Genomic DNA, 27,170 nt, shown 5'->3' on the forward strand with positions numbered 1-27,170 from the left:
ATGTACAAAATATTAGAGCTTAAATTTTTACCTGTTTTGTCTCCATAAAAAGCCAATGATATCTCTACTAAAGTACATTTTCTTTGCCTTGTAGTGCTATGTGAAATGACTTGTCAGCTAAGCATGGAACTTAATGGTACAATATATATCATCTTCAATTTCAATCAAATACTTGAAATATAAATTTAGACAAGGACAAATAAGGTAATAATGCAGCTTAAACCAAAAGTATGGTTGTATAAATTACACATCAGCAGCCACCAGTTATGATATACAGCAGGTGATTCATTATAATTCAACTCACCCTTAAGATTTTAGGAAGAAGAATAAGGCAAATCTACCCTTAGCCTGTGTGGTACTCATTAAAATCACAACACTATTTCTTCTACAGAATACGTGGTAATGTTTTCTAAGGCTAGTCTGATCAATCTTTGATTTTTCTCTTTAGGAATCTTGGAATTTAAGTAGAGTTATAAATAAGTGAGAGTAGTTCCCTCAGTTCTCAAAGATTCATTATCTCATTTATAAGGAACATGTTTATTGGATGCTACATTCAACTATGGCTTTTCCTGAACTTTCCCTTTTTGAAAACACAAAAAGCATAAATCTTTATAAAAAGGAGCAATTAAATTGCTTGAACATATAACATGGCTGAAAAAAATTACAGGAAAGATTTTAAAGTACGATTTGTACAATTTGTAATATATTTTTTTTTTTTGTTTGTTTTTTTTTTTTTTTTTTTTTTTTGAGACGGAGTCTCGCTCTGTCACCCAGGCTGGAGTGCAGTGGCGGGATCTCGGCTCACTGCAAGCTCCGCCTCCCGGGTTCACGCCATTCTCCTGCCTCAGCCTCCCAAGTAGCTGGGACTACAGGCGCCCGCCACTACGCCCGGCTAATTTTTTGTATTTTTAGTAGAGACGGGGTTTCACCGTTTTAGCCGGGATGGTCTCGATCTCCTGACCTCGTGATCCGCCCGCCTCGGCCTCCCAAAGTGCTGGGATTACAGGCGTGAGCCACCGCGCCCGGCCAATTTGTAATATTTTTAACAGAGTTCTGGTATCTACCAATTTGTCCATAAAGAAAAATTTCAGTGAAATATTTTTACACATCTTGAATACAGACTTCCATTATATATCTTCTGAAACGGATAAGTGGCTTTGAATAATTTAGTGTCATATAATTTCTAGCAATCCTCATCCTTTAGGATATTGAGTTACAAATGAAGGCATACTTATATGCATACATATACATGTATACATATGTGAAAAGAGCAATCTCCTTCTTACAACTGTATATGTAAGTAGCCTGCAAAGTGTTGGGGTTGAGTCATTGGGGAATTAAGGAAGTAATTCAAACTTTCTATTTATTTATTTTTTTTTTTTGAGATGGAGTCTCGCTCTGTCGCCCAGGCTGGAGTACAATGGCACAATCTCAGCTCACTGCAAGCTCCCCCTCCCGGGTTCATGCCATTCTCCTGCTTCAGCCTCCCAAGTAGCGGGGACTACACGCGCCTGCCACCACGCCCTGCTAATTTTTTTTGGATTTTTTTTTTAGTAGAGACGGGATGGTCTTGATCTCCTGACCTTGTGATCCACCCGCCTCGGCCTCCCGAAGTGCTGGGATTACAGGCGTGAGCCACCACGCCCAGCCAGTAATTCAAACTTTCTAAGTTTCTTTCCCTCACTGTTCATTGTACAAGTTTGACAAGATAATACCCTCTGGCTTCTAACTGCCTGACCTTTAGGGTAGTTTCCTTTGCTGATTAATTTACTTTGTATAAGCCATCTTAGATCATCTCTATTTCCTAGTGCTATGGGAAAAACAAGGTAAAAATGATAAAAAAAAAAATAAGCATATGGAGTAATTTTTCATCCTATGAAGACTAGACAATAGCCAATAACTATTCCCTTGATTCAAAAGAAAATCAAACAACCCTCTCTTCCTCATCCCCGTGGAAAATTTCACCAGTAGTGTTATGGGATCCTTGGAGTGTCACTTCACCAGCTGGAAACCTCTGTGACCAGTGATGCCTTTGCCCAAGTTTTGCTGTGGCCTGCTGGGCTCATTCTGACAACTCTGCCTGGCAGGCTTTGGTTGGCTTGCACTACCAGCCTGGATCTCACACCTGCCAAGGGCGAGCCAGCTGGGGAGCGGTGAGGGGTGTGTAAGCGAGTGTGGGGTCCAGTCACTGAGCATAGCCAGGCATGCCAGCTGCTGCCATCGAGCAGGCAGCTTCAGATGCCAGCATGGGCACCAGCTCCTGTGAGGCCACAGCTGGACCAGGCATAGCCAGGAAGCAGGAAGCTTCCACAGCTGGCATCAGGAAGTGTGATGATGCCTGGAAGCTTGAGGACTCCAGGAACTACACAGCCCCAAAGACGGAGTCACAGCCCTGGCTCATGGAGCTCCCAGGTCTGGGCTCCCAGAAGGGTGGAAACTCTTCTCTCCTCTTTATCCACAACATGGTGAGCAAGTGGCATGTTTCAGCCCTGTTTGTGTTACAGCACATTTAGCCTCGCCATTCTGCAGGTCCTGAGTTCTTGTCCTACATCCAGGGAGAATGCGGTACACAGATGAGTGGAGGGTGAGCAAGACAAAGAGGAGTTTTATTGAGTGATAGAATAGCTCAGAGGAGACCCACAGTGTTCCAACCAATCAAAGCTACTGATGGCAGTGGCAGCCCATCTAAAGTGGCTGCTGCTGTGGCGCCAGCTGCAGTGGGGTACAGGGGCGGGCCGCAGGTCCTTAGGTGCAGACGCCCAGGTGGGCAGTCCCTGGAACCTACCCCTGGGAGCCACCGCTACGGGGCCAGGCTGTGAGAATGTTCAGCTCTTAGCAGAGAGTGTAGCTCAGTTCTTAGCAGAGAGTGTAGTTCCTTTCTGTTAGGCAGGTTGGCTAGATGAGTGTTCAGCTCTCAGCAAAGAGGGTAGCTCCTCTCTGCAGCTGGTGATCCTGTTGTCTCTCCACCCTCTCCTCAATCTGTCTGACTCCAGGGTTTTTATGGGCCTCAGAGAGGAGGAAGTGTGTGCTGATTGGTCTATGGGCTGCCAAGGGCAGGCCCAAGGAAAGCACCACAAGTTCCCCCTCTGGTCAGCTGGGCTAGTGGCCCAGCACCCAGGCTTCAGGCCTTCCCCAGCTCGAAGGTAGGACTTCACCAGGGACCCACTCTCTTCAGCCCAGGAGCTTATCTGCCTCCTGTGGCTGTTCATGGTGCCCAGGCTGTTCATGCCAAAGGGTGACTGCAGGCCAGCACTGGGCTGTCCTCAGCACCCCCTTGGCCTCCCTCCTGTGCTTGTTTGTGCCCAAAGTCCAGAGGAGGGCTGAGGTGGCAGGGGGCTGGTGTGTCAGTGCTGCCCTTAGTATGTGCACACACAGTCAGGCTGCAACATCACCCAGGCTCAGCCCTAACTTTGCTTCAAGATCGGAGCAGGCACCAACAGTGGGGAGAAGCCAGGCATTAGAAGCAGGCACTTTCAAACCTGCAGGGGAAAGGGGGGCCTTCCTGGGCCCCGAGAGTGCAGGGATGCCTGGGTCCACAGCAGCAGCTGGCTGGCCGCAGCTGCACCCTGGGAGCTCCTGCCTGGCTAGCTTGGAAGGGGCGGGGCTCTTGCTTGTCTCTGGCTCCCACGGGCTCACGCACCTGTCCTGGAGACGATCGTGGGCTCCAGGTCCAGCTCTTGGGAATGTCAAACTTAGTGGTCACCATGATGCGGGGTAGATCCTGAGGATATGACCTCAGATGGCCCCACACAGAGCCTCTTTTCAAGGCTCAGGAACTTGGTACCATCAGCCAGGTGGGTGCAGTGGCTGCGTCGCTGGCCAGGTCCTCCAAGGAGGTGCCACTCCCACTTCTCCCTGCAGGCACCTCAAGCAAAGCCTCAGCTCCACATCTCTGCCCAGCCCTAGCACTCTGTATGAAAGCACTGGGCCCTACTCTGCCTCAGAGCCCCTCTGTACCCTCTCCTTCATGCCCAACTGTGCTGCCCGCCTGCTGGCAGGTGGCTCAGCCTGGCCCCATAGTGGTGGCTCCCGGGGGTAGGTTCCAGGGACTGCCCACCTGGGCACCTGAGGACCCGCGGCCTACCCCTTTACCCCACTGCAGCTGGTGCCACAGCAGCAGCCACTTTAGATGGGCTGCCACTGCCATCAGTAGCTTTGATTTGTAAAGACTCCTTGCCCAAGCCGCAACTTTTAAAAAACTTGCTTCGGCAAAAGAATATTCTAAAACTATTTTCTGAACATATTTTTTAATCAAAAAGTATTTACAGAACAAAGATTTTACATGGAAAATGAAACAAAAATTCCAAATTAATGTAGAAGATTATTAATGAATAAGGATAAATATTTAGAAAAATTTCAAACTGTATTTAAATTACTAAGTTTTGCAAAGGAAAGTTGTTAGATTCAGATCTCCCAGCCCATACCTATTGGCATATATCTTTAAAAAGATTGAACTTTTCTAAAGCTAAATTTTCTCAGTTGTAAAATGGATTAAATAAACATCAATTGATACTATATTTGATGGTTATTAATAAACTATAATTGCAACATAAGATTATGAAACTAAATCTTATACATATACACATATATAAAATTGGTTGCATTTCTCTAAGTTTTTGAATGACTTATGAAATTGCTTAACTGGCAGTTTTATGACACTTAAAATAGACTTCTCTCATGCAAAAATATGTTTAGTATATTGTTGTTTCCTTTTCCTAAATTCACATATATATATGTGTGTGTGTGTGTGTGTGTGTGTGTGTGTATATATATATATATATATATATATATATATATATATTTTTTTTTTTTTTTTTTTTTTTTTTGAGATGGAGTCTCGCTCCGTCACCCAGGCTGGAGTGCAGTGGCGCGGTCTCGGCTCACTCCCAGCTCCACCTCCCGGGTTCATGCCATTCTCCTGCCTCAGCCTCCCGAGTAGCTGGGATTACAGGCACCTGCCACCACACCCGGCTAATTTTTTATATTTTTAGTAGAGATGGGGTTTCACCGTGTTAGCCAGGATAGTCTTGATCTCCTGACTTCGTGATCCGCCCGCCTCGGCCTCCCAAAGTGCTGGGATTACAGGCATGAGCCACCACACCCGGCCCACTTTTACATGTTTTTGTGAAGCCTTCTGATTTCTGAAACAGAGGAAACAAACAAACAAACAAAAACATTTTTATTCCATTTTATTGAGGCTTTTTATTTGTGTACTTTTGGGGTTATATGAAAAAAAGCTTCTAATGCTAACATTAAATTTCTTCAGTGTATAAGCATCCCAATGTAAAACTGAACAATGAATACTGCAAGAGGAAATATTGAGGGGATATCACAATATCAAAAGTCTCGCATACCCAGAAATCTCTGAGGAAATTATTTTTCTTTTCATGTCTTCTTAACTATTCTTTTTTTTTCTAAAGTAGTTCTTTGGTACTTTGCCCTTTGCTTATATGCAAAGGGTAGAATAGTGATTACAGGAAATAAAGACTCCATTAGCTTGAGTGGTGCTCTTTGGCTGATAGGCATAATATTCTTAAACTACAGTAATTCACACTACCAGTCTCTACTAATGGAGAATCACTGCATGCATATCTATGAATGTCCTAAAATACTTTTTCTCTTTATAAAGAATTGGACAGAAGCAGGTAGGATATGAAGAATCATTTAAGTGCAGCAAGAAAGCCATTAAGATCATAGTTTCCAAGTATTAAGAAAGAGATAATTAGCCTTGGAGAAGGGTCAACTTACACTTGTACCTATGTCATCAGCTTACTTCAAATGGGGAAAAAGAGAGATTAAAATGCTCCAACTGATACCTAAAGAATTTCTTTTGTGGGGAAACACTACCTTCAGAAATAAGGTGCTTGGCAAAGTCTCTCAACCTAGCTAATAACATAAAATTTCAAGTGAGTTTTCCTCGTGTAAAAATGTATTTTTCAGATTTGAATTTTAGAGAGTGATGGCTCAATTTTAAAATCCAAAATAATACAAGCAAAAAAGAGATATTAAATAGAACCAGCAAAAGCATAAATAAAAAAAGTAAAAATATTGTATCTGTGCTTCTTTATACAAATTTTCTGTTTAGGGAATCAGTGAACTCTAAAGTTCCATGAGCACTAATTATTGCATTATCTACCAGCAGTAATTTATTTCTAAAGACCACTCTTACTTTCTTAAAGCAACACAGGATTGATTCAGAGTTTTGTAGACAGGCAGCAGTGATTCTTTTTTTTAATTTTTTTTGCGGGGGCGGGGTGAGACCAATTCTCTCTTTGTTGCTTAGGCTGGAGTGCTGTGGCGCGATCTCAGCTCACTGTGCAACCTCCACCTCCCGGGTTCAAGCAATTCTCTGCCTCAGCCTCCCTAGTAGCTGGGATCACAGGCGCCCACCACCATGCCCGGCTAATTTTTGTATTTTTAGTAGAGACGGGATTTCACCATCTTGGCCAGGTTGGTCTTGGACTCCTGACCTCGTGATCCACCCGCCTTAGCCTCCCAAAGTGCTGGGATAACAGGCGTGAGCCACTGCACCCAGCCAGGCAGCAGTGATTCTTAATCAAAGTTTACAGCCAACGAAGCAGAAAAGCAGAAACAAACTGACTTAAATTATGAGCTAACTACATGAATTTAACTCTGCAACTAAGGCTACATCTCCTAAGTTAGATTTAAGCTATGTGAAGTCTAAGCCAGCATCATCATCTACAAGCACAACATTTTCCACATCAAGAAGGAGAGCACGGATTAGCATCAGCACCAATAACAGCCATAGAATTCCAGACTCACTGATGTCACTGGGACTTCAATGTTTCAGTCATTGCTTATGGAAACAACCTCAATGATTACAGAAAATATGTTTCAGTAATTGTGAGAAAAACTCATATATGTAGAAAAAATAGGTACCAATATTTAGGGGTTTAAAAGAACATATGAAGAAAACAATTACTAATACAGCAGTATCCTTATTACCCTGCAAGAAAAAAGGCAAGGGAGATGGCATGACAATTCAGTGTCTCTAATCTTACTAGAAATCTCAAGCAAAGTTGTCATGGGCTGACTACTCATGGAAATTTCAGATAATAACTATCCCTTGTTTTCTTCAGTTCTTTATGATTTACAGCCATTCACAGATTATTTCCCTTAAATTTCAAAATCAGGCAGGCAAAATTTTTACATCCATATTCCAATTATATAAATGAATACAAAGAAAGTCAAAATAACTTTCTTAATAGCATACAGATGCAAGTAATATATCTGAGGGACTTAAGCTAAGCTCTTTAGACTCCAAAGTGCTCTTTCCACTACTGCAAAATGTAAAATATTAATTTTACACGTTCTGGAAGCTCAGAGAGTTCATTGTGCATATAACCAATTGTATGTGCCCTGTGACAAACACACAAAAAAGTAGAAATAGTAGGATTATTTTGCTGTAGTGAAACTTGTGTGTTTAGCAAATAGTAAGGAGGCTTACTATACTTCCTAATAGAAGTATTCATCCCAAAATGGGTTTGTCAGGTAACAAGAAATTGTAATAGCCATTAAATATTTGCCACTCTTCTAAAATAAGTGTATGATAGAGCAATTGATTTTTTAAGTTAAAAGGGGATTTATTAACATTCTAATATGAATCCTTTATTTTTACAGAGGAAGAAACAAAATCATAAAAGGATAAAGTGATTTTTCTAATATGTGTATATTTGTAAACTATTGGCAGACAATGCAATAAGGAAGGGGAATTCAAGTCCAGAAAAGACGGATGTATGGTCTGTGGAATTAATATTAATAGTTTAATTAAAAATAATCAGAGTAATATTTCCTGAGGGCTTTTCATGTGACAAAATCTGTTATGCTTTTCATGTCTTAGCTAAGAGCAATCATAAAAGGTGATATTATAATATCTAATTTGGAGATAATATCTGATATGGTTTGGCTCTGTGCCCCTACCCAAATCTCATTGTGAACTGTAGCTCCAATAATTCCCACATGTTGTGGGAGAGACCCAGTGAGAGATAATTGAATCATGGGGGTGGTTTCCCCCATACTATTCTCATGGTAGTGAATAAGTCTCATGAGATCTGATGGTTTTATAAGGGGAAATACCCTTCACTTGACTCTCATTCTCTCTCTTGCCTGCTGCCACATAAGACGTGCCTTTCACCTTCTGCCGTGATTGTAATGCCTCCCCAGCCATGTGGAACTGTGAATCCATTAAACATCTTTTTCTTTGTCAATTACCCAGTCTCAGATATGTCGTTATTAGCAGCCTAAGAACAGACTAATACAATATCACAGACCTAAAATGAATAATATCTTGCCCATTGTCAAAAGATCAGAAATTCAGACCTAGCTTTCTAAAATACACTTACACTCTGCTACAGTGGTGGAGTCAGCTTATTTCCAATACTCATCTTCAACCACTTCATTTAACACTTGGCCAGCCTGAATAGAGACTATATTTCACAGTTTCCCTAGCATTTGTAGTTAGTTATAGGACTAAAATTTGGCCAGCAGAATGAGTGGAAGTGAGGTTTGCAACTTCTGTTTACTAACCTGACAGAAGAGACATGCTCTCTCTATCGCCTTTTCCCTTTCCAGCTGGCAGAATACTGGTAAGGTGGCAAGCTATGTTGAACAATGTGGATTGGACAGCACTCTAGTGATGACCCAGCCACAAGATAGAGGAGTCTAGTTCTCCACCCTGTATTGCCACCAGATTAGACACAAATTGCTTACCACAGGACTTGAGAAAAATATGTCACAGCCTTGTTATACCACATTTTTTTTTTTTTGACATAGTCTCATTCTGTCGCCCAGGCTGGAGTGCAGTGGTATGATCTCGGCTCACTGCAACCTCTGCCTCCCAGGGTTAAAGCAATTCTCCTGCCTTAGCCACCTGAGTAGCTGAGATTTCAGGTACCCACCACCACGCCTGGCTAATTTTTTTGTATTTTTAGTGGAGACGGGGTTTCACTATGTTGGCCAGGCTGGTCTCAAACTCCTGACCTAAAGTCATCTGCCCACCTTGGCCTCCCAAAGTGCTAGGATTACAGGTGTGAACCACTGCGGCCGGCCTATACAACTATTTTTAATCTTTCTTGGAGATGTAGGTCTGTATTATAAATAACAAAACTGCCTTTTGGTACACAACAGGATGCAATAGATTGTTCAGATCTCTGCAATAGTTTCATGAGACTGATTGAGGTGAACAATCTGACAGCCAATGACACCCAATGCAATGTGATGCCCTAAATCTGGTATTTTAAATCATACATTTATCTAAAGAAAATAACTCAGACACATTATGTGGCCCATTCTGCTTTATCCCTCAAAACTTTTTTTTCTCTTAATTGGCTAATTAACAGTATTTTAATAATAATTTTTAAAAATCTTGGGCATCTCTACCTCCATTCCTTGACTGCTATTCTGAACCCCTTGCCTGTTTAGAGTAATCCTCTGTGGTAATAGAATATTTTATCACACTTATCACCTTAAGTTTTTTGTTTTTGTTTTTGTTTTAATGTCTGGCTGTTTCCTTGCTACTATAAACTCCTTGATGGAGAAATCATCTTATATCCAACTTTGCATTCTAATTTCCTATAAATGTGTCTAACATATTGTGGGCAATTAGTAAATGTTGACATTACTTGATTCATTTACGAAGAGGCTTTTGACAGGGGTATGTAAAACTAGCACTATACAGAGAAGTGTATGGGATGTTGCAGGTGACATGGACAGATAAAGCTAAATAGTAAACTGAAAAAGTTTAATATAATGATGGTATTAACCTTGAAAGCATTAGTTTCATCAGCAATACAGAAATAAAAAAGGGTTACCACATTCTGTTTTTGTTGTGGAATTATTTCCAATGATGCATTTCTAAGACAGACTGAAAGAAAGTCATTCTAAGAAAAGTATCAACCTAGGAGGATGCTAAAAGTTGTGTGTAGAAACCAAAGTGGTAGAGAGGCCTTTGATCAGAAGCCACACTCCTCATCAAAGCTTACAACGTTCTGCAAAATCCAGGGCTGTTACCTCTCTCCAACATCATCTCATTCATCACTCCTTTGCGTGTGTTCTGGCCACACTGACCTGCTTTCTGTTCTTGGAACACACCAACATTTTGGTGCATTCGGACCTTTGCTCCTGCTACCCTCTCCTCCGGTGAATTTCTTTTTCCAACATTTTGCTAGCTCCTTTTCATCTTTCATATTTTAGCTCAAAGGTCAATCTTCAGAAATGCCTTTCTGAGAAACTATTTAAAGTTTTCACATCCCCTCTCCCTAACCAAAGTTATATTTATAAAATACCATTTATTTCCTTCATAATTATTTTTTACAATTTGACAAATATTTTTATGTATTCCTTTAGTTTCTGTCTCCTGCTAAAATGACTGTAAATTCATATCAGTAGGTGCACTGTCTGTCTGGGAACACTGTAAACACTGTTTACTGTTGCATGCCCATTACCTAGAACCTAACTTGGTAGACAAAATGTACTTAATAAGTTCTTGAAATCCATAATAATCAAGACCACGTATTTTGGGTCTGAGGTCTACACCTGACATAAGACTTGGCTGAGCAGTATTTGAGGAATAATGAAAGCAGCATACCGAGAATATGCTGAATGGTAAGTTCAAAGAAAGAGGCTATAGTGAAAGGTGAGGATTAAGCGGAATGATACTGAGGTATCTGAATAGTGTTGCTAACAGATTTGTGTCACCCCCTCTTCACCCCCAATTCATGTGTTGAAGTCCTAACCCCAGTATTTCAGAATAACACTGCATTTGGAAATGTAATCTTTAAAGAGGTAATTAAGTTAAAGTAAGGTCATTAGATTAGGACAGGTCCTAACCCAACATGACTAGTGTCCCTACAAGAGGAAAGAATTAAGGCACAGACTTGCATAGAGGAAAGACCATGTGAAGACACAAAGAGAAGAAGGCCATCCATAAACCAGGGCAAAAAGTCTCAGAGGAAACCAATCCTGCTGACACCTTGATCTCAGATTTCTAACCTCCAGAACTGTAAGGAAATGAAGTTCTGTTGATAAGTCCACAGTCTGTGGTACTTTTTTATGGCAGTCTTAGCAAATAAACACAATTGCCTATTTGAAAAAATTATCAAGAGGAAACAGAGAGTGAAGGAGACACCATGACATAAAACCTAACACTAAGCTAGGAGAGAAGGACCATATTTAAAGCCATGTTCTTTGTAAACTGACACTAGTGGCAGTGTCTAGAGGGAGAGAAGGGAGGAGAAAGCAAAGGGTAGAAAGGCAAGAAAGGGAAGGGAACATGAAAGAACTTACACAGGAAGTTGATGCACGCTGAACAAAATGTTGGGTGGCCAGTAAGATGATGAGATTAGTGCTAACCCTAGTAAACTGTGCAGTTCATGTACAAAAAGGTAGTCATGATTTCATATTAAATGTAAAGTGAATGCTAACAACGCACTGGCATTATTTTCTCAAGTTATAACGACAACACAGACATTTCAAAGCAAGAGAGGCTGTTTTAAAGCATTTATTCTTAATCAAACACTACTTCCATACTTAGGTTGCAAATTCTCTAGAGTCTAATCACAATAAATATAAAACATCGAGCACCAGGGAATTTTAACTATCTCATCTAACAATGTAAACACCATACTTACAGAGCACTGTGAAAGAAGAAAGTGTTCTCTTTCTAAATCTGTAACCAGATGTGAGATTATTGGCCTTTGTTTCAACCACAATGATGATGGAAAGGAAGAAATTAATTGCAATTTTGATGAATGGAATGCCTGACAAATAATAGTTTTTACCAGATCATTGTTTTCACTTTTTAATTTCTATCCAGCAAAGCTTTATTTCAATGGTACATCATCGTAATTGCCGTTTTTGTAAACATCAAACTGTGCAGGTGCATTAGAAAACTCACGCTCTGCTGTAGATACAATGAACTAAAGAAATGTAGAACAGATAATAAAATTGCAAAATTTCTTTGAGCATATGGTGATATGCAGAATGTCTGCTCTAAAAAAGCCTGAAGTGTGTCTGGGCCTTCCAGTCTGGTAACCAGCCTTATGCAAAAGAGCCTTTATGTTTCAATATTTGACCATTTAATAATTCACCTCCACGCCATTCCCCAGACTTCAGTTCATCCCACCATATGTGCTTTACTTTAATATTAGCTTTAATGTACTTACATCCTTCAAATAAGCACTTAATTAGATATAGTCACTTAGATTTCTCATGATTAATGGTTAAATATGAATTCAGGATGGGTTGGTCCATGAATGAAACATCTTGGAATATATCTTGGGATGCTGTGGCAAAATCAGCATAATTAGTGAGCCATGTTATTTCCCAAAAGTTTCTGCCATGAAACTTGAGATTAAACAGTAAAATAAATTTCTAATTCTTTAAGAGTGCATGTGAGTTCACTTACTCCAGGTCCTGCCCATGTTCCTAGAGATATATTCAATGTAGAAATGTGCATTTTAGGCATTGGGACTTAATCTTTACCTTTATTTCATTAATTCATATATAAACTTAAAAATCCCTATTCAAGAGTAATATGTTTATTGAGTGTCTGCAAAAAACAAAAGACTGATAATACATGCAAATACTTTAACTTTTTAATAAGTGCATTAATTAGTGCATGATTCATGCAACTCAGCATCATCTGTAACAAGAAACAAACATTACAAATATAGTGTTAGTTTTTGGTAACCAGAAATATTTTCTACCCAAAATTTGTCCCACTTAACTGTTAAGTTGCTAAACTTTCACTATTATTAGTTCACTCATTTGGGCTTATATTGAATTACTTCTTTGTTCTAAAACAATGGTTCTATCGACATTCAATCATAAAGTTCCTTTTTATGACTTCATACAATCCTAGCACTGGAAATATACTTAGTAGGATGTACTTAGTCAAACCAATTGTATGCCTGAACCTCTTCTTCAACCTTTCTGTCAGACTAAAATCTATTCTCTCTTTGCACCTACTGCATGGTTAAGAAGATACTTCAAATGTCAGATAGCTTTTTTTTCTAATTTTAGAAAAGGAATTAGAAAAAAAAGAAGAAGAAAAGGAATTAGAAAAACATTTTCTAATTTTAAAAGTAATAGCTAAATTTTGCTGTCCGTGCTAGTTTCTGGAGTGAGATACAGGAAATCTATATTTTTCTACATGATCACTTTTTTAATATTTGGAAATGCCTAGCATGTTCCAGTTTCCTTTTCTCTGTTCTGAATCAATACGGTTACTTCTTCAAAGGTTCCTTCATTGACATGGTTTCTTGACTATATATTCAATGAACTGAATAGATAAACTTAGAACGTGGCAGGTACTCTTCCAGGAGTTGGCTATATAAGGGTAAATAAACACAGCTCCTCCAACCATGGCTTATAGAATTTAAGGGAGAGAAAGAGAGCAAAAAACAAACAAACAAAAATGTGAGTAAATGTAAAAGTCAAACTGCTGATAAATGCTATGAAGAAAAAATCTGAGAGTTCAATGATAGAGAGTTAAAGCATCATAACTAGCTGACACATAGCCAGGCATAAAGAAGAAAAGTGGAGTTAAAGGAAGAATTTTGTTCCCAAGAGAGAAGTCACAGACAAATGACAAATTGGGAGAATGTATTGGAAATTTATACTCCAGGAAAACAATCAATATCCCTGATATTTAAACTGCTTTGAAAACCAAAGTGATCCATATAAAATCCTGTTAAAAATAAGATATTAATAGAAAAACTGATGAAATTTGAATATGATATATAGTTTGATAAAGCATTTTTACTGGTTTCAACAGTTGTACTATGGTTATATGATACATTAATGTTAGGGGAAAGGTGGATGAAAGGTATACAGCAATACTTTGTATTATTTGTATAACTTTTCTGTAATACTAAAATTAATAAAAAATAAAAATAAAAAAATAAAGGGGAAAAGGACCAAAATATCTACCAAGGATGTGATTTTGCAGCAAAAAGTAGGCAAATGCCCCTTAAATATGTCAAAAAATAATCAAATTTACTCATAGAAGGAGAACTGTATTAAACCTTCAGTTGGATGCTATTTTACCTTTGGTAACAGCTTGACAAAAACTTTAGAAGAATAATAAACTTTTAGGTAAATTTCTGAAAAACATGTAAATCTTTGAAAATCTATCTTTGTTTTTTAGACTGCAAAATAGTGCAACCACTATTGAGAGAAGGTGATGGATTTCTAGCAAAACTACAAACGTATTTACCTTATAAGAATTGCAATTATGAGAACTTATAAGAACAATATGTTGCACTTCTAAGAAATTATTATGAAGCTACACTTCCAAAAATATGAAACAACATATACACAAGCCTATTTCTTGTGGAATTATTTGGAAAAGCAAACTATTGGAAAACACAAGCATGCCATTTGTAAGAGACTGAGATGAAAAAGATATAGTGCATTCTGAAAAAGGGGTCCAGTGAAACTTAATCTAAATAAAGATCACTACAAACTGACATTAGTGTTTTTCAGTGTATATTGTTAAATAAGAAAGGAAACATATGGAAGAATGCATATAGCAGGCCACTTTTTAGTGAACTAGAAGAGGAAATAAAATATGTATATTCTTTTTTTTATTATTATACTTGAAGTTCTAGGGTACATGTGCACAACGTGAAGGTTTGTTACATATGTATACATGTGCCATGTTGGTGTGCTGCACCCACTAACTCTTCATTTACATTAGGTATATCTCCTAATGCTATCCCTCCCCCCTTCCCCCACCCCATTACAGGCCCAGTGTGTGATGTTCCCCTTCCTGTGTCCAAGTGTTCTCATTGTCCAATTCTCACCTATGAGTAAGAACATGCGGCGTTTGGTTTTTTGTCCTTGTGATAGTTTGCTGAGAATGATGGTTTCCAGCTTCATCCATGTCCCCACAAAGGACATGAACTCATTCTTTTTTATGGCTGCATAGTATTCCATGGTGTATATGTGCCACATTTTCTTATTCCAGTCTATCATTGTTGGACATTTGGCTTGGTTCCAAGTCTTTGCTATTGTGAATAGTGCCACAATAAACATATGCGTGCATGTGTCTTTATAGCAGCATGATTTATAATCCTTTGAGTATATACCCAGTAATGGAGTGGCTGGGTCAAATGGTATTTCTAGTTCTAGATCCCTGAGGAATCGCCACACTGACTTTCACATTGGTTGAAGTAGTTTACAGTCCCACTAACAGTGTAAAAGTGTTCCTATTTCTCCACATCCTCTCCAGCACCTGTTGTTTCCTGACTTTAATGATCGCCATTCTAACTGGTGTGAGATGGTATCTCACTGTGGTTTTGATTTGCATTTCTCTGATGACCAGTGATGATGAGCATTTTCTTCTGTTGCCTGCATAAATGTCTTCTTTTGAGAAGTGTCTGTTCATGTCCTTCACCCACTTGTTGATGGGGTTGTTTTTTTCTTGTAAATTTGCTGGAGTTCATCGTAGAGTCTGGATATTAGCCCTTTGTCAGATGAGTAGATTGCAAACATTTCCTCTCATTCTGTAGGATGCCTGTTCACTCTGATGGTAGTTTCTTTTGCTGTGCAGAAGCTCTTTAGTTTAATTAGATCCCACTTGTCAATTTTGGCTTTTGTTGCCATTGCTTTTGGTGTTTTAGACATGAAGTCCTTGCCCATGCCTATGTCCTGAATGGTATTGCCTAGGTTTTCTTCTAGGGTTTTTATGGTTTTAGGTTTAACATTGAAGTCTTTAATCCATCTTGAATTACTTTTTGTATAAGGTGTAAGGAAGAGACGCAGTTTCAGCTTTCTACATATGGCTAGCCAGTTTTCCCAGCACCATTTATTAAATAGGGAATCTTTTCCCCATTTCTTGTTTTTGTCAGGTTTGTCAAAGATCAGATGGTTGTAGATGTGTGGTATTATTTCTGAGGGCTCTGTTCTGTTCCATTGGTCTATATCTCTGTTTTGGTACCAGTACCATGCTGTTTTGGTTACTGTAGCCTTGTAATATAGTTTGAAGTCAGGGGGTGTGATGCCTCCAGCTTTGTTCTTTTGGCTTAGGATTGACTTGGCAATGCGGGCTCTTTTTTGGTTCCATATGAACTTTAAAGTAGTTTTTTCCAATTCTGTGAAGAAAGTCATTGGTAGCTTGATGGGGATGGCATTGAATCTGTAAATTACCTTGGGCAGTATGGCCATTTTCATGATATTGATTCTTCCTACCCATGAGCATGGAATGTTCTTCCATTTGTTTGTGTCCTCTTTTATTTCCTTGAGCAGTGGTTTGTAGTTCTCCTTGAAATCCTTGAAGAGGTCCTTCACAACCCTTGTAAGTTGGATTCCTAGGTATCTCAGCAAATGTAAAAGAACAGAAAGTATAACAAACTGTCTCTTAGACCAGTCTGATTAATTCAGATTCAGGATTACAAAACTCATTCAAAACCGCTCAACTACATGGAAACTGAACAACCTCCTCCTGAGTGACCACTGGGTACATAACAAAATGAAGGCAGAAATAAAGATGTTCTTTGAAACCAATGAGAACAAAGACACAACATACCAGAATCTCTGGGACACATTTAAAGCAGTGTGTAGAGGGAAATTTATAGCACTAAATGCCCACAAGAGAAAGCACGAAAGATCTAAAATTGACACCCTAACATCACAATTAAAAGAACTAGAGTAGCAAGAGCAAACACATTCAAAAGCTAGAAGAAGGCAAGAAATAACTAAGATCAGAGCAGAACTGAAGGAGATAGAGACACAAAAAACACTTCAAATAATCAATGAATCCAGGGGCTGGTTTTTTGAAAAGATCAACAAAATTGGTAGACTGCTACCAAGATTAATAAAGAAGAAAAGAGAGAAGAATCAAATAGACGCAATAAAAAAATGATAAAGGGGATATCACCACCAATCCCACAGAAATACAAACTACCATCAGATAATACTATAAACACCTCTATGCAAATAAACTAGAAAATCTAGAATAAATGGATAAATTACTGGACACATACACACTCCCAAGACTAAACCAGAAAGAAGCTGAATCCCTGCATAGACCAATAATAGGCTCTGAAATTGAGGCAATAATTGAGAGCCTATCCACCAAAAAAAGTCCAGGACCAGATGGATTCACAGCTGAATTCTACCAGAGGTACAAGGAGGAGCTGGTACCATTCCTTCTGAAACTATTCCAATCAATAGAAAAAGAGGGAATCCTCCCTAACTCATTTTATGAGGCCAGCATCATCCTGATACCAAAGCCTGGCAGAGACACAATGAAAAAAGAGAATTTTAGACCAATATCCCTGATGAACATTGATGCAAAAATCCTCAATAAAATACTGGCAAACCGAATCCAACAGCACACCAAAAAGCTTATCCACCATGATCAAGTGGACTTCATCCCTGGGATGCAAGGCTGGTTCAACATATGAAAATCAATAAACATAATCCAGCATAGAAACAGAACCAAAGACAAAAACCACATGATTATCTCAATAGATGCAGAAAAGGCCTTTGACAAAATTCAACAGCCCTTCATGCTAAAAACTCTCAATAAATTAGGTATTGATGGGATGTATCTCAAAATAATAAGAGCTATCTATGACAAACCCACAGTCAATATCATACTGAATGGGCAAAAACTGGAAGCATTCCCTTTGAAAACTGGCACAAGACAGGGATGCCCTCTCTCACCACTCCTATTCAGCATAGTGTTGGAAGTTCTGGCCAGGACAATCAGGCAGGAAAAATAAATAAAGGGTATTCAATTAGGAAAAGAGGAAGTCAAATTGTCCCTGTTTGCAGATGACATGATTGTATATTGAGAAAACCCCATCAACTCAGCCCAAAATCTCCTTAAGCTGATAAGCAAATTCAGCAGTCTCAGGATACAAAACCTATGTGCAAAAATCACAATCATTCTTATACACCAGTAACAGACAAACAGAGAGCCAAATCATGAGTGAACTCCCATTCACAATTGCTTCAAAGAGAAATATGTATATTCTTGTGTGTACGTGTGATGTTTATGCTTATTTTTGCAAAAAGAAATAGCAAAGATAAACCAGAAATTAATGAAATATGTTAGTTATAGAGAGTAGATGGACATAGGATGGAAGGACTAGGTATTAGAGTGTAACTTTTGGGTACACTTTTTAAAATGCTTTAAATATTGACTCATTTAAATATTTTGTATATTCAAAATAGAAAATGAACAAAGCAGGAAGAAAAACGAAATCCCCGAATTGACTACAAATAGAAATTATAAAACTTAATTTTATAGCAAATTGGAAATATGAAAACACAGATCAAATAATTATCCTGTATAACTGTTCAACAATTTACATCTCAAGAAATATGTTCTAACTTCAGAAAGGTCTAAAAGAAATATTGAGATTGATTTCTAGGTTTTTTGATATGTAATGAAATTTGTGGTGTGATTCAAAATTATATTTTATGTTTTGCAGAATAAAGCCAATGAGTACATATACAAATACTTTTGGAAACCAAACTTTTCACTGATTAAGAAGGTAAACACAAATGTGGAATGGAGGTGAGAACAAAAAATGCTGTAAAATCAAATGAGAATGAATATACCAATATGTATTTATAGTTTGTAAAAATATGTTTTCTATATCTATCCACTGAAATGGCTTGGAAACTATGACACACTTGAGTATCAATAAACATATCTAGCCCCCAGATTGTTATTTCTAAATATCATTCCATTAAAAAATAAGAATAAAGAAATCAGGCTCTTTGGCAAAGTGGATAATTCTAGGTTAGGGAGAGAAAATATAAGGTGAGTTTAGAATACCTTGTTCCTGAAAACAAGAACCCAGTAGCTAATGAGATGAAACTTTTATAAACCAAATATGTGACACTTTGAGCAAAAAAATCAGTAATACATAAGGAAAATAAGTCATAACACAGAAAATAAAAACCATTCCACAGATTAATAGTGATAATAATATTAATAATAATAATAGAGAGGGACAGAGAGAGATTAAAATAGAAACATCTCCTTTACAAAAAAGTTTAGCTAATAAATGTAGAAGAAATAAAAAAAAAATTGGCCAGGCTTGGTGGTTCACACCTGTACTCCCAGCACTTTGGGAGGCCAAGGCAGGTGGATCACGAGGTCAGGAGTTCGAGACCGGTCTGGCCAACAGAGTGAAACCCCATCTCTACTAAAATTACAAAAAATTTGCCAGGTGTGGTGGTATGTGCCTGTAATCCCAGCAACTCAGGAGGCTGAGGCAAGAGAATCACGTGAACCTGGAAGGCAGAGTTTGCAGTGAGCCGAGATCACACCACTGCACTCCAGCCCAGGCGACAGAGTGAGACTGTGTCTCAAAAAAAGAAAAAAGGAAAGAAAAGAAAAAAGAAAAGAAAGACATAATAGAAAATCATATTGAAGAACTCAAGGTCCACAGAACTACTTTCCGAAAAGAAAAAAAAAAAAGACCACTGTGACAATATCTATGGCCATCATCCTAATTAAGTGATCAAACTTGACATCATGAATATTGGGAGGCTAGATGTTACATGTGTCCAGAATTGATGCAATAAAATATACAGGCATTACCCTCTGCTATGGTTTCAATGTGCTCTCTCCAAAATTCATGTTGAAACTTAATCCCTGCTGTGGTTGCATTAAGAGGTGGATTCTTTGGGGAAGCAATTAAATCATGAGGGCCCTGCCCTTATGAATGGGTTCATATCCTTATAAAAGAGGTTTTAGAGACAGTTTGTCCTTTTTTTTTTTCCCATCCATCCCTTCCACCATGTGAGAACATAGCATTTTTGTCCTCCAGGGGATGTAGCAACACGGTACCATCTTGGAAGCAGAGACTGAGTTTTCACAAGACAACAAATGCCTACGCCTTGATCTTGGACTTCACAGCCTCCAGAACTCTAAGAAGTAAATGTCTACTTCTTTAAAATAAACTGCTCAGCTGTGGGTTTTTGTTGTAGCATCACAAATGGACTAAAACATTGTTGTAATATTCTTTTCAAAAAGTTTTAATCTGAATCTAGTAGTGATGAAACAAATTAATAAATAGAGAATGTAAGATGTCCTGCAAGATAACTGGCATTAACTCCATAAAAAATTAGATGTAGTAAAACCAAAAAAATGATGAGAGATATCTAGATTTAAAATACCTAATAAAACATACAAATGCATTAACTCTGATTAGATTTCAGATTTTAAAATAATAGGTAAATTTTTGGAAACACTAAATATGGACTATGTATTAAATTGTATTATTGAGTTAATGTTCCTTTTTTCTTTTTTGCTTATAATAGACATATATTAATGGCACATTTACTGGGTAGAGTGTGATATTTCCATACATGTATACAGTATATAATGTTCACATCAGTGTAGTTAGCATATCCAACATCTCAAACCTTTTTTATTTCCTTGTTGTGGTAACTTTCAAGATCTTTTCTAGATATCTTAAAATATACAATACGTTGTTGTTAGTTATACTTACCCTACTGTGTTATAGAACTCCAGAATGTATTCCTCCAGTTTAACTGTAACTTTGTGTCTATTGACCAACTTCTGTCCATCCCTCTTTCATCTTCTCTCCCCAGCATCTGGTAACCACTATTCTACTCTCTACTTCTATGAGAACATAATGTTACTTTTTACTAGACAAAAAAGTAGTGCTGTGGTCATAGAGGCAAATATCCTTATTCTTATGAAATCCTCACTAAAGTGTTTTGCAATAAAACATCATAATATCTCAGTTTATTTTTGAAAGGTTAAGGAGAGAGAAAAAGAGAGTGAATGTTAACAGTTGTTTACCCATGTATGTAGGTGTATCAGTCCATTTTCATATGGCTATAAAGAACTGGCTGAGATTGGGTAATTTATAAAGGAAAAGGGTTTAATTGACTCACAGTTCTGCATGGCTGGGTAGGCCTCTGGAAACTTACAATCATGGTAGAAGGCAAAGGGAAAGCAAAGCACCTTCTTCGCAAGGTGGCAGGAAGGAGAAGTGCCGAGCAAAGGGTGAAGAGTCACCTTATAAAACCACCAGATCTCATGAAAATTGACTCAATGTCATGAGAACAGCATGGCGGAAACTGCCCCCCCACTTGATTCAATTACTTCCCATCAGATTTCTTTCCATAAAACATGTGGGGATTATGGGGATTACAGTTCAACATGAGTTTTGGGTGGGGACACAGCCAAACCATATCAGTGGGTGTTAGCTGTAACATTCTTTTCACTACTCTATAGGTTCAAATTTTTTTAAAATAAAAAATTGGTGTAAAATAAATAAACTAAGCTGAGATTAGGACCATCCTCAACTACTTGGTAGGAGCAAATAAACTATGCCTGAATGAAGAGATAAATATATGAAGTACGAAATTACTTCATCTGTATCTCAGCTGTCACTCACAATAGTATTTGATCACATGCATACTGACAGCATTCTGACAATTCTCATTCATTGTAATTTTAAAGTTGAAATAAAGTTTTCAGATCTGTGATATATTTATCAATTTAACTAGTTATCTGTGAAGAACATATGCTGTATTTTTGGATGCATCATTTCTTTTACCTGCTACTTCCCCTTTAGGACACTTCCTCAAACTGTTACTCCATGAAGCTCTGGTTTATTACTGATCACAGTTCTCAAATACTCTGATACAAGAGTTCACACTTGATTCAAGATGCAAAATTTGTTATATTCAATATTTCTACAGTCCTTAGTGATCAGTCAAGTGACAAGCCTATAAAGCTAAACAAATCAGAGTACTTCTCTAAGATTTTATATGAAGCATGAAATTGAGATAATATTTTTTCCTCAAGCATTCCTATATTGTAAAGATGCATACATTCTCTGGATATTATCCCACTACCACTTTTAAATTCCCAAAATACTTGAGGATACCTGAAGTATCACATAGCTATATAAAAACATACTGGCAAGGAACAAATCAGAAGTATTCATCCTAAATATATTATAAAAAGCAGTTTAAATTCAGAGGACCTCTGCTTCTATTCCATGATCCTATTATAGATATGGATGGTACTTCTAAGGAGTATTAAATAAATATTACTTCTTTATAAACTCAATATATAATGTTTAACATAACACCTATGTTTAATATAGCCAATTACGCTCCTTATAATGAATGTAAAGATGAATTTGACAGCAGCTAAAGCATTATCGGGCCACAGAGACCAATTTGTTTATTTTGTTATTTTCCATATTTCTGAAGCTCACAAGAACAAAGAACAAGAAACAAAGATGGCCAGGGAGACTCAGGAATACAGGTAGACAGAGAAACAGAGACAACAAAGCCTAATGACATTGTTTGGCCTTTTTTTCCTCCATTCCATTGGCCAGTGCCATTCCCTGATTGTATAGTTTTCTGAAAATTCTTTTCTTGGCAAAAACTAGTTGGATTGAGTTTCAATTATGTACAACTAAAAAAATCATAATATACAATTGAAAGCAGTGAATATCATTCATGTAGTTTCATTACCTCATCCAACATGCTAAATGTTCATCTGATGAACTGAAAAACTCTTTATTAAAATAGGGAAGTAATAATATAATTTCATTAATTCAGATCCCATTAAATTGATTTTTTTTATTTTCACTAAAGCTAAGTAACACTATCTATTATTGGAGACTCCAAACATAGACAACACAAATCCATGCATGGATATACCATTTATAATACATTTTATGGCCCATATTTAAATTACAGGACATTGGAGTTATATGGATTTATTTCTAGCCAGTTTATTTTTGTCTTTGTTCTTGTTGTGATCTCATGAAATGTGGAACACCAGGAAAAGAAACAATTTGCTTTATGTGTCTAGATGATGCTTTAGCTGCTGTCAAATTTATCTTTGCATTTCTTAAAATGAATGAGGTGAGGGAATGTCAAGTAAATTAAACATCATATATAGATTTTATAAAAAAGTAAATTTCATACTTCTTAGAATTACCATCTACATGTACAATAAGAAAATAGAATATAAGCAGAAGCCCTCTGATTTTAAACTGCTTCTTTCACGTATTTATGACAAATGCTTCTAATCTGTTCCTCACTGATAAATCCTTACATCATGTCGTACTTTAGGTACCCTGAAGTGAATTTAAATACTTGGTAATTCATTGGTGAAGTCGATCAGCACTTATTTAGTGCGTATTGTGATCCATGTAGTATGTTGTCAACTGGAAAATTAAAAAATGAACAAGAATCTCACTCACACTAAACTAGTGGTATAAACTGGTAAGCATAAGTAAATATAAACTGGAGAATTATAAACAAGCAATATGTCAGATGGAAAATGAGAAAAAACACAAAACATTTGAATTCCTTATGATTTTGCTCTTCAGTGACATTGAATTTTTTTTCCTTTAGTTTGAAGATGGAGAGAAAGTGATATGAGCACCTGGAAGCAATTTGCAGATAAACTCAATCATTTGGGGATGTATTCTTGCATTGTTTGCCCTTTTATGAAGGAGAAAGAAAGACAAAATTATATATAAATTAGGAGGGATGCTAGAAAAGAGCTTCCAAGATACATAGATGTTAAAATCATTATATCTGCTGGAAATACTAGGCAGTACATAAATGTACATATCTCTAATTTCTTCTAACCATTTCAATTTGGGAAATGTGAAGGAAATGTGACCTAAAATTGAATGCTAAAGATGAAATTTAAAATTATGTTTAGGGGACTATTATGGGTTGAATTGTGTCTCTTAAAAGTTCTCTTGAAGTCCTAACATCTAGTACCGGAGAATGTGCTCTTATTTAGTAAGAGTTTATTGAAGCTATGTTGAGATGAGGTAATATGGGAGTAAGGAAGGTCTCCAATCCAATATAACTATTGTCTCTAAAATAAGAGTAGAAGAGACACAGAGACACAGACACACAAGAGGAGAGTGTCATATGACAATGGAGGCTGAGACTGGTAGCTGTAAGTCAAGCCAGGAAATGCCAAGGATTGCTGGAAAACCACTAGCGGCTAGGAATAAGCAAAAAACTATTTCCCCTTACCTGTTTTAGTGACAGCACTCCCCTTACAACACCTTGACTTCTTTACTTCTAGCCTCCAAAACTGTAAAACAATAAATTTCTTATGTTTTATGTTACCTAGTTTGTAGAATTTTCTAATGCCAAACCTAAGAAAGTAATACAGGCATGTAGTAAGATAAATTCTATGCCCTCTTTTATACATTTATGCAACAAAGAGAACCCAAAACACCACGGGGATGATCTTCTGTAGTATGTCAGATATGTACTCAGAAATTATATTTTGATGCAACCACCAAATACAAATATTGTCTGTAACAATACTTCAAAGTGTTACCTATGAACTTTCTTCTGAAAACTGCCAGAATAAGGAACCAAGTTCCTTACTTTTATGAGACAAGAAAGCTTCAAGGCCTGACAATCCAATGAGTTTTAGCTTTTATCTTTCCTTCATTTTGAATGTGTGAAAAAACATTCTTCAAACAGTTTATGAAATGTTCTCAGACCTTTGTTTAGATGTTAATAATAATTCTAGCACTCATACTGTCTCCCAACCCTAGGTTTTCAAATTTAGGCTAAACAGACAGCACAGACACACACAAGTGAATAGTTTGATAGTTTTGCAGAATTCTGGTTTCAAAAGTATCAATAGAAGACTATGAATTAAACAAGGAAGTTCAATAAAAATCTTTCTGGGGACAGTGATGTCAGCTAGATGGCAGAATAGGAGATCTCTCCAGGTATCTTTCCACAGCAACAATGATTTTCAGCCATCCATGACAAAAATATCTTTGTAGGTGATTTGGGATTCAGGTATAAGGTTGTGAACCCCTGATGGAGCCCAAGGTCTAGAAGGGCCATTTTAATAGAACATATCATTACCCAGGTGGCATGCATGCCAATCACAGTCCTGGCTCCAGACCCAAAAATGGCCCTGTTCCCCTGTGTATTTGGCTATAGTCACATTTGGCATTGGCCCTACTAAAAGAACTATCTACTAAGAGACCCAAAATAAGTCAGGCCCACTTGTGCCTCAAATGTCACACCTGCCTATCTCAGTCCTGACTGTGGAGAACCCCGAAATGGTTCAGTAACTTGGCTCCAGCCCTACTTAGTAGTTCTGTACACACAGGGACTTTCTGAGAGATACACTTGTCTGTGCTGCTGAAACATATTTGCTGACCTTGATGCCAGCAGATGGCAAAACATTTCTGTTATTCAACTATGGCCTTTCTCAGCTGCCCTCTGAGAGTAGTTCTGCACACCAGGGACCTGAAGGGAGATATGCCAATCTGTATCCCTGTGCACACTCCCAACAACCTTAGTCCCACAGTAGGTCATGAAACAGTTGGATAACTTAGCTCCAGCCCCTCTCATCTATGGACTGAGACATGTTTTCCTGGCCCAGATGCCCAGAGAGAAATACACTAGTCCATGCCCCCAGAGGAAGCCTGCAGATCCAAATATAAGCTGTAGCTGAAGCCGGCTTTTGACTCAGTTCTAGTCCCTCTCATTTGCAGTCTGGGGCTAGTAATACCCACCCAGAAACCCACACAATAACCCAATGGGAGTTCTTCCCAGGATCTAGAGGAAGCCATATCTGTTCATGCACCTGGTAATAGGCATGCCATTACCAGGGTCAACATTCAGGACCCTGAAGTTGACACTTATCCCACTATATGCCCTACTGACCAAGTTACTGAAGGTAATTCAATCTACTTAGGGATTAGACAGGAACGATGCTCACTTGAGACCCTGGTAATAGGCCTGCCACCAGCAGATCCCACTGAGGACCCAGCAGCAACCATGTGACCCAGCTTCAACCCCACTCAACTGCAATTGCAAACACCATCACAACGTGGGTACCTAACAGGAGAAGGTCTTTACCAACCAAAATTAGTCCATAAAGATGGGAAGAAATGTTTGCTCTTTCATATACACAAGTAATACCAATGCGAGTTTTACAGATAACAAAGTATCAAGCCATCATGACACTACCAAAGGAAACTAACACTCCAGCAATCAACTCCTAAGTGAGAGAGATCTATGAATTTCTTGAAAAGAAATTCAAGATAACCATCTTGAAGCTCAATGAGATGCAAGAGAACAATAAATAAAAATTAGGAAAACAATGCATGAACCAAATGAAAATTTAATAAATAAATAAAAATAATATTAAAAAATCAAATAGAAATTCTGGAGCTGAAGAAGAAAATGGCAGAAATGAAAAAATTCAATACAAACCTTCAAGAGCAGCCTCAATTATACAAAAGAAGGAATTAGTGATCTCAAAGACAGGTCATTTGAAACTAAATAATTCGAGGAACAAAAAGAGGGAAAGGAGGAAAAGAGTAAAGAAAGGATAAGGACATATGAAACACCACCATGCATGCAAATACAGGCATTATGAGTATTCTAGTAAAAGAAGAGAGAAGAAGGAATAGAAAGCTTATTGAAATAAACACTGGCTGAAAACTTTCCAAATATTAGAAGGAATTCAAGAAGCTCAGAGAATCCCAAGCAAGATCAACCAATAGAGGAATACTCAGAGACACATAGTCAAATTGTCCAAAGTCAAAGACAAGGAGGAAATCTTGAAAGCAGCAAGAGAAAAGAGACTCATCACATACAAGATAGTCTTCATATGGTTATCAGTGTATCTATTAGCAGAAACCTTGAAAGCCAGCAGAGAATAAAATTATATATTCAAAGGGCTGAATGAAAAAAAAAAAAAAAAAAAAAGCTGCACCCAAGATACTACACTGGGCAAAGCTGTTCTTCAGGAGTAAGGAAGAGAATAGAAACAGCTCCGTTCTGCAGCTCCCAGTAAGACCAATGCAGAAGGTGGGTGATCTCTACATTTCCAACAGAGGTACCCAGTTCATCTCAATGGGACTGGTTAGGAAGTGGGTGCAACCCACGGAGCACAAGCAGAAGCAGGGTGGGGTGTCACTTCACCCAGGAAGTGCAAGGAGCCAAAGGACCTCCCTTCCCTAGCCAAGGCAAGCAGTGAGGGGCTGTGCTACCTGTCCTGGGTACTATACTTTTCCCACAGATTTTTGCAATGTGCAGATCAGGAGATTCCCTCATGAGTCTACACCACCAGGGCTCTTGTTTCAAGCACAAAACTGGGCAGCTGTTTGGGCAGGCAT

General features: G+C 38.0%; 1 long non-coding RNA gene across 2 annotated transcripts in view; it reads right to left on the reverse strand.

Annotated features, from left to right (window-relative positions):
- LOC105376637 (uncharacterized) overlaps positions 1-27,170 on the reverse strand; it is a 292,809-nt gene that overhangs the window by 112,463 nt on the left and 153,176 nt on the right. For both annotated transcript variants that reach the window (XR_001748194.1, XR_001748195.2), the window contains exon 2: positions 24,043-24,103. This is a non-coding gene — a long non-coding RNA (uncharacterized LOC105376637). The remainder of the gene's footprint in view (positions 1-24,042; positions 24,104-27,170) is intronic.

This window comes from Homo sapiens, chromosome 11 (assembly GCF_000001405.40).
Source record: "Homo sapiens chromosome 11, GRCh38.p14 Primary Assembly".
NCBI lineage: Eukaryota > Metazoa > Chordata > Mammalia > Primates > Hominidae > Homo > Homo sapiens.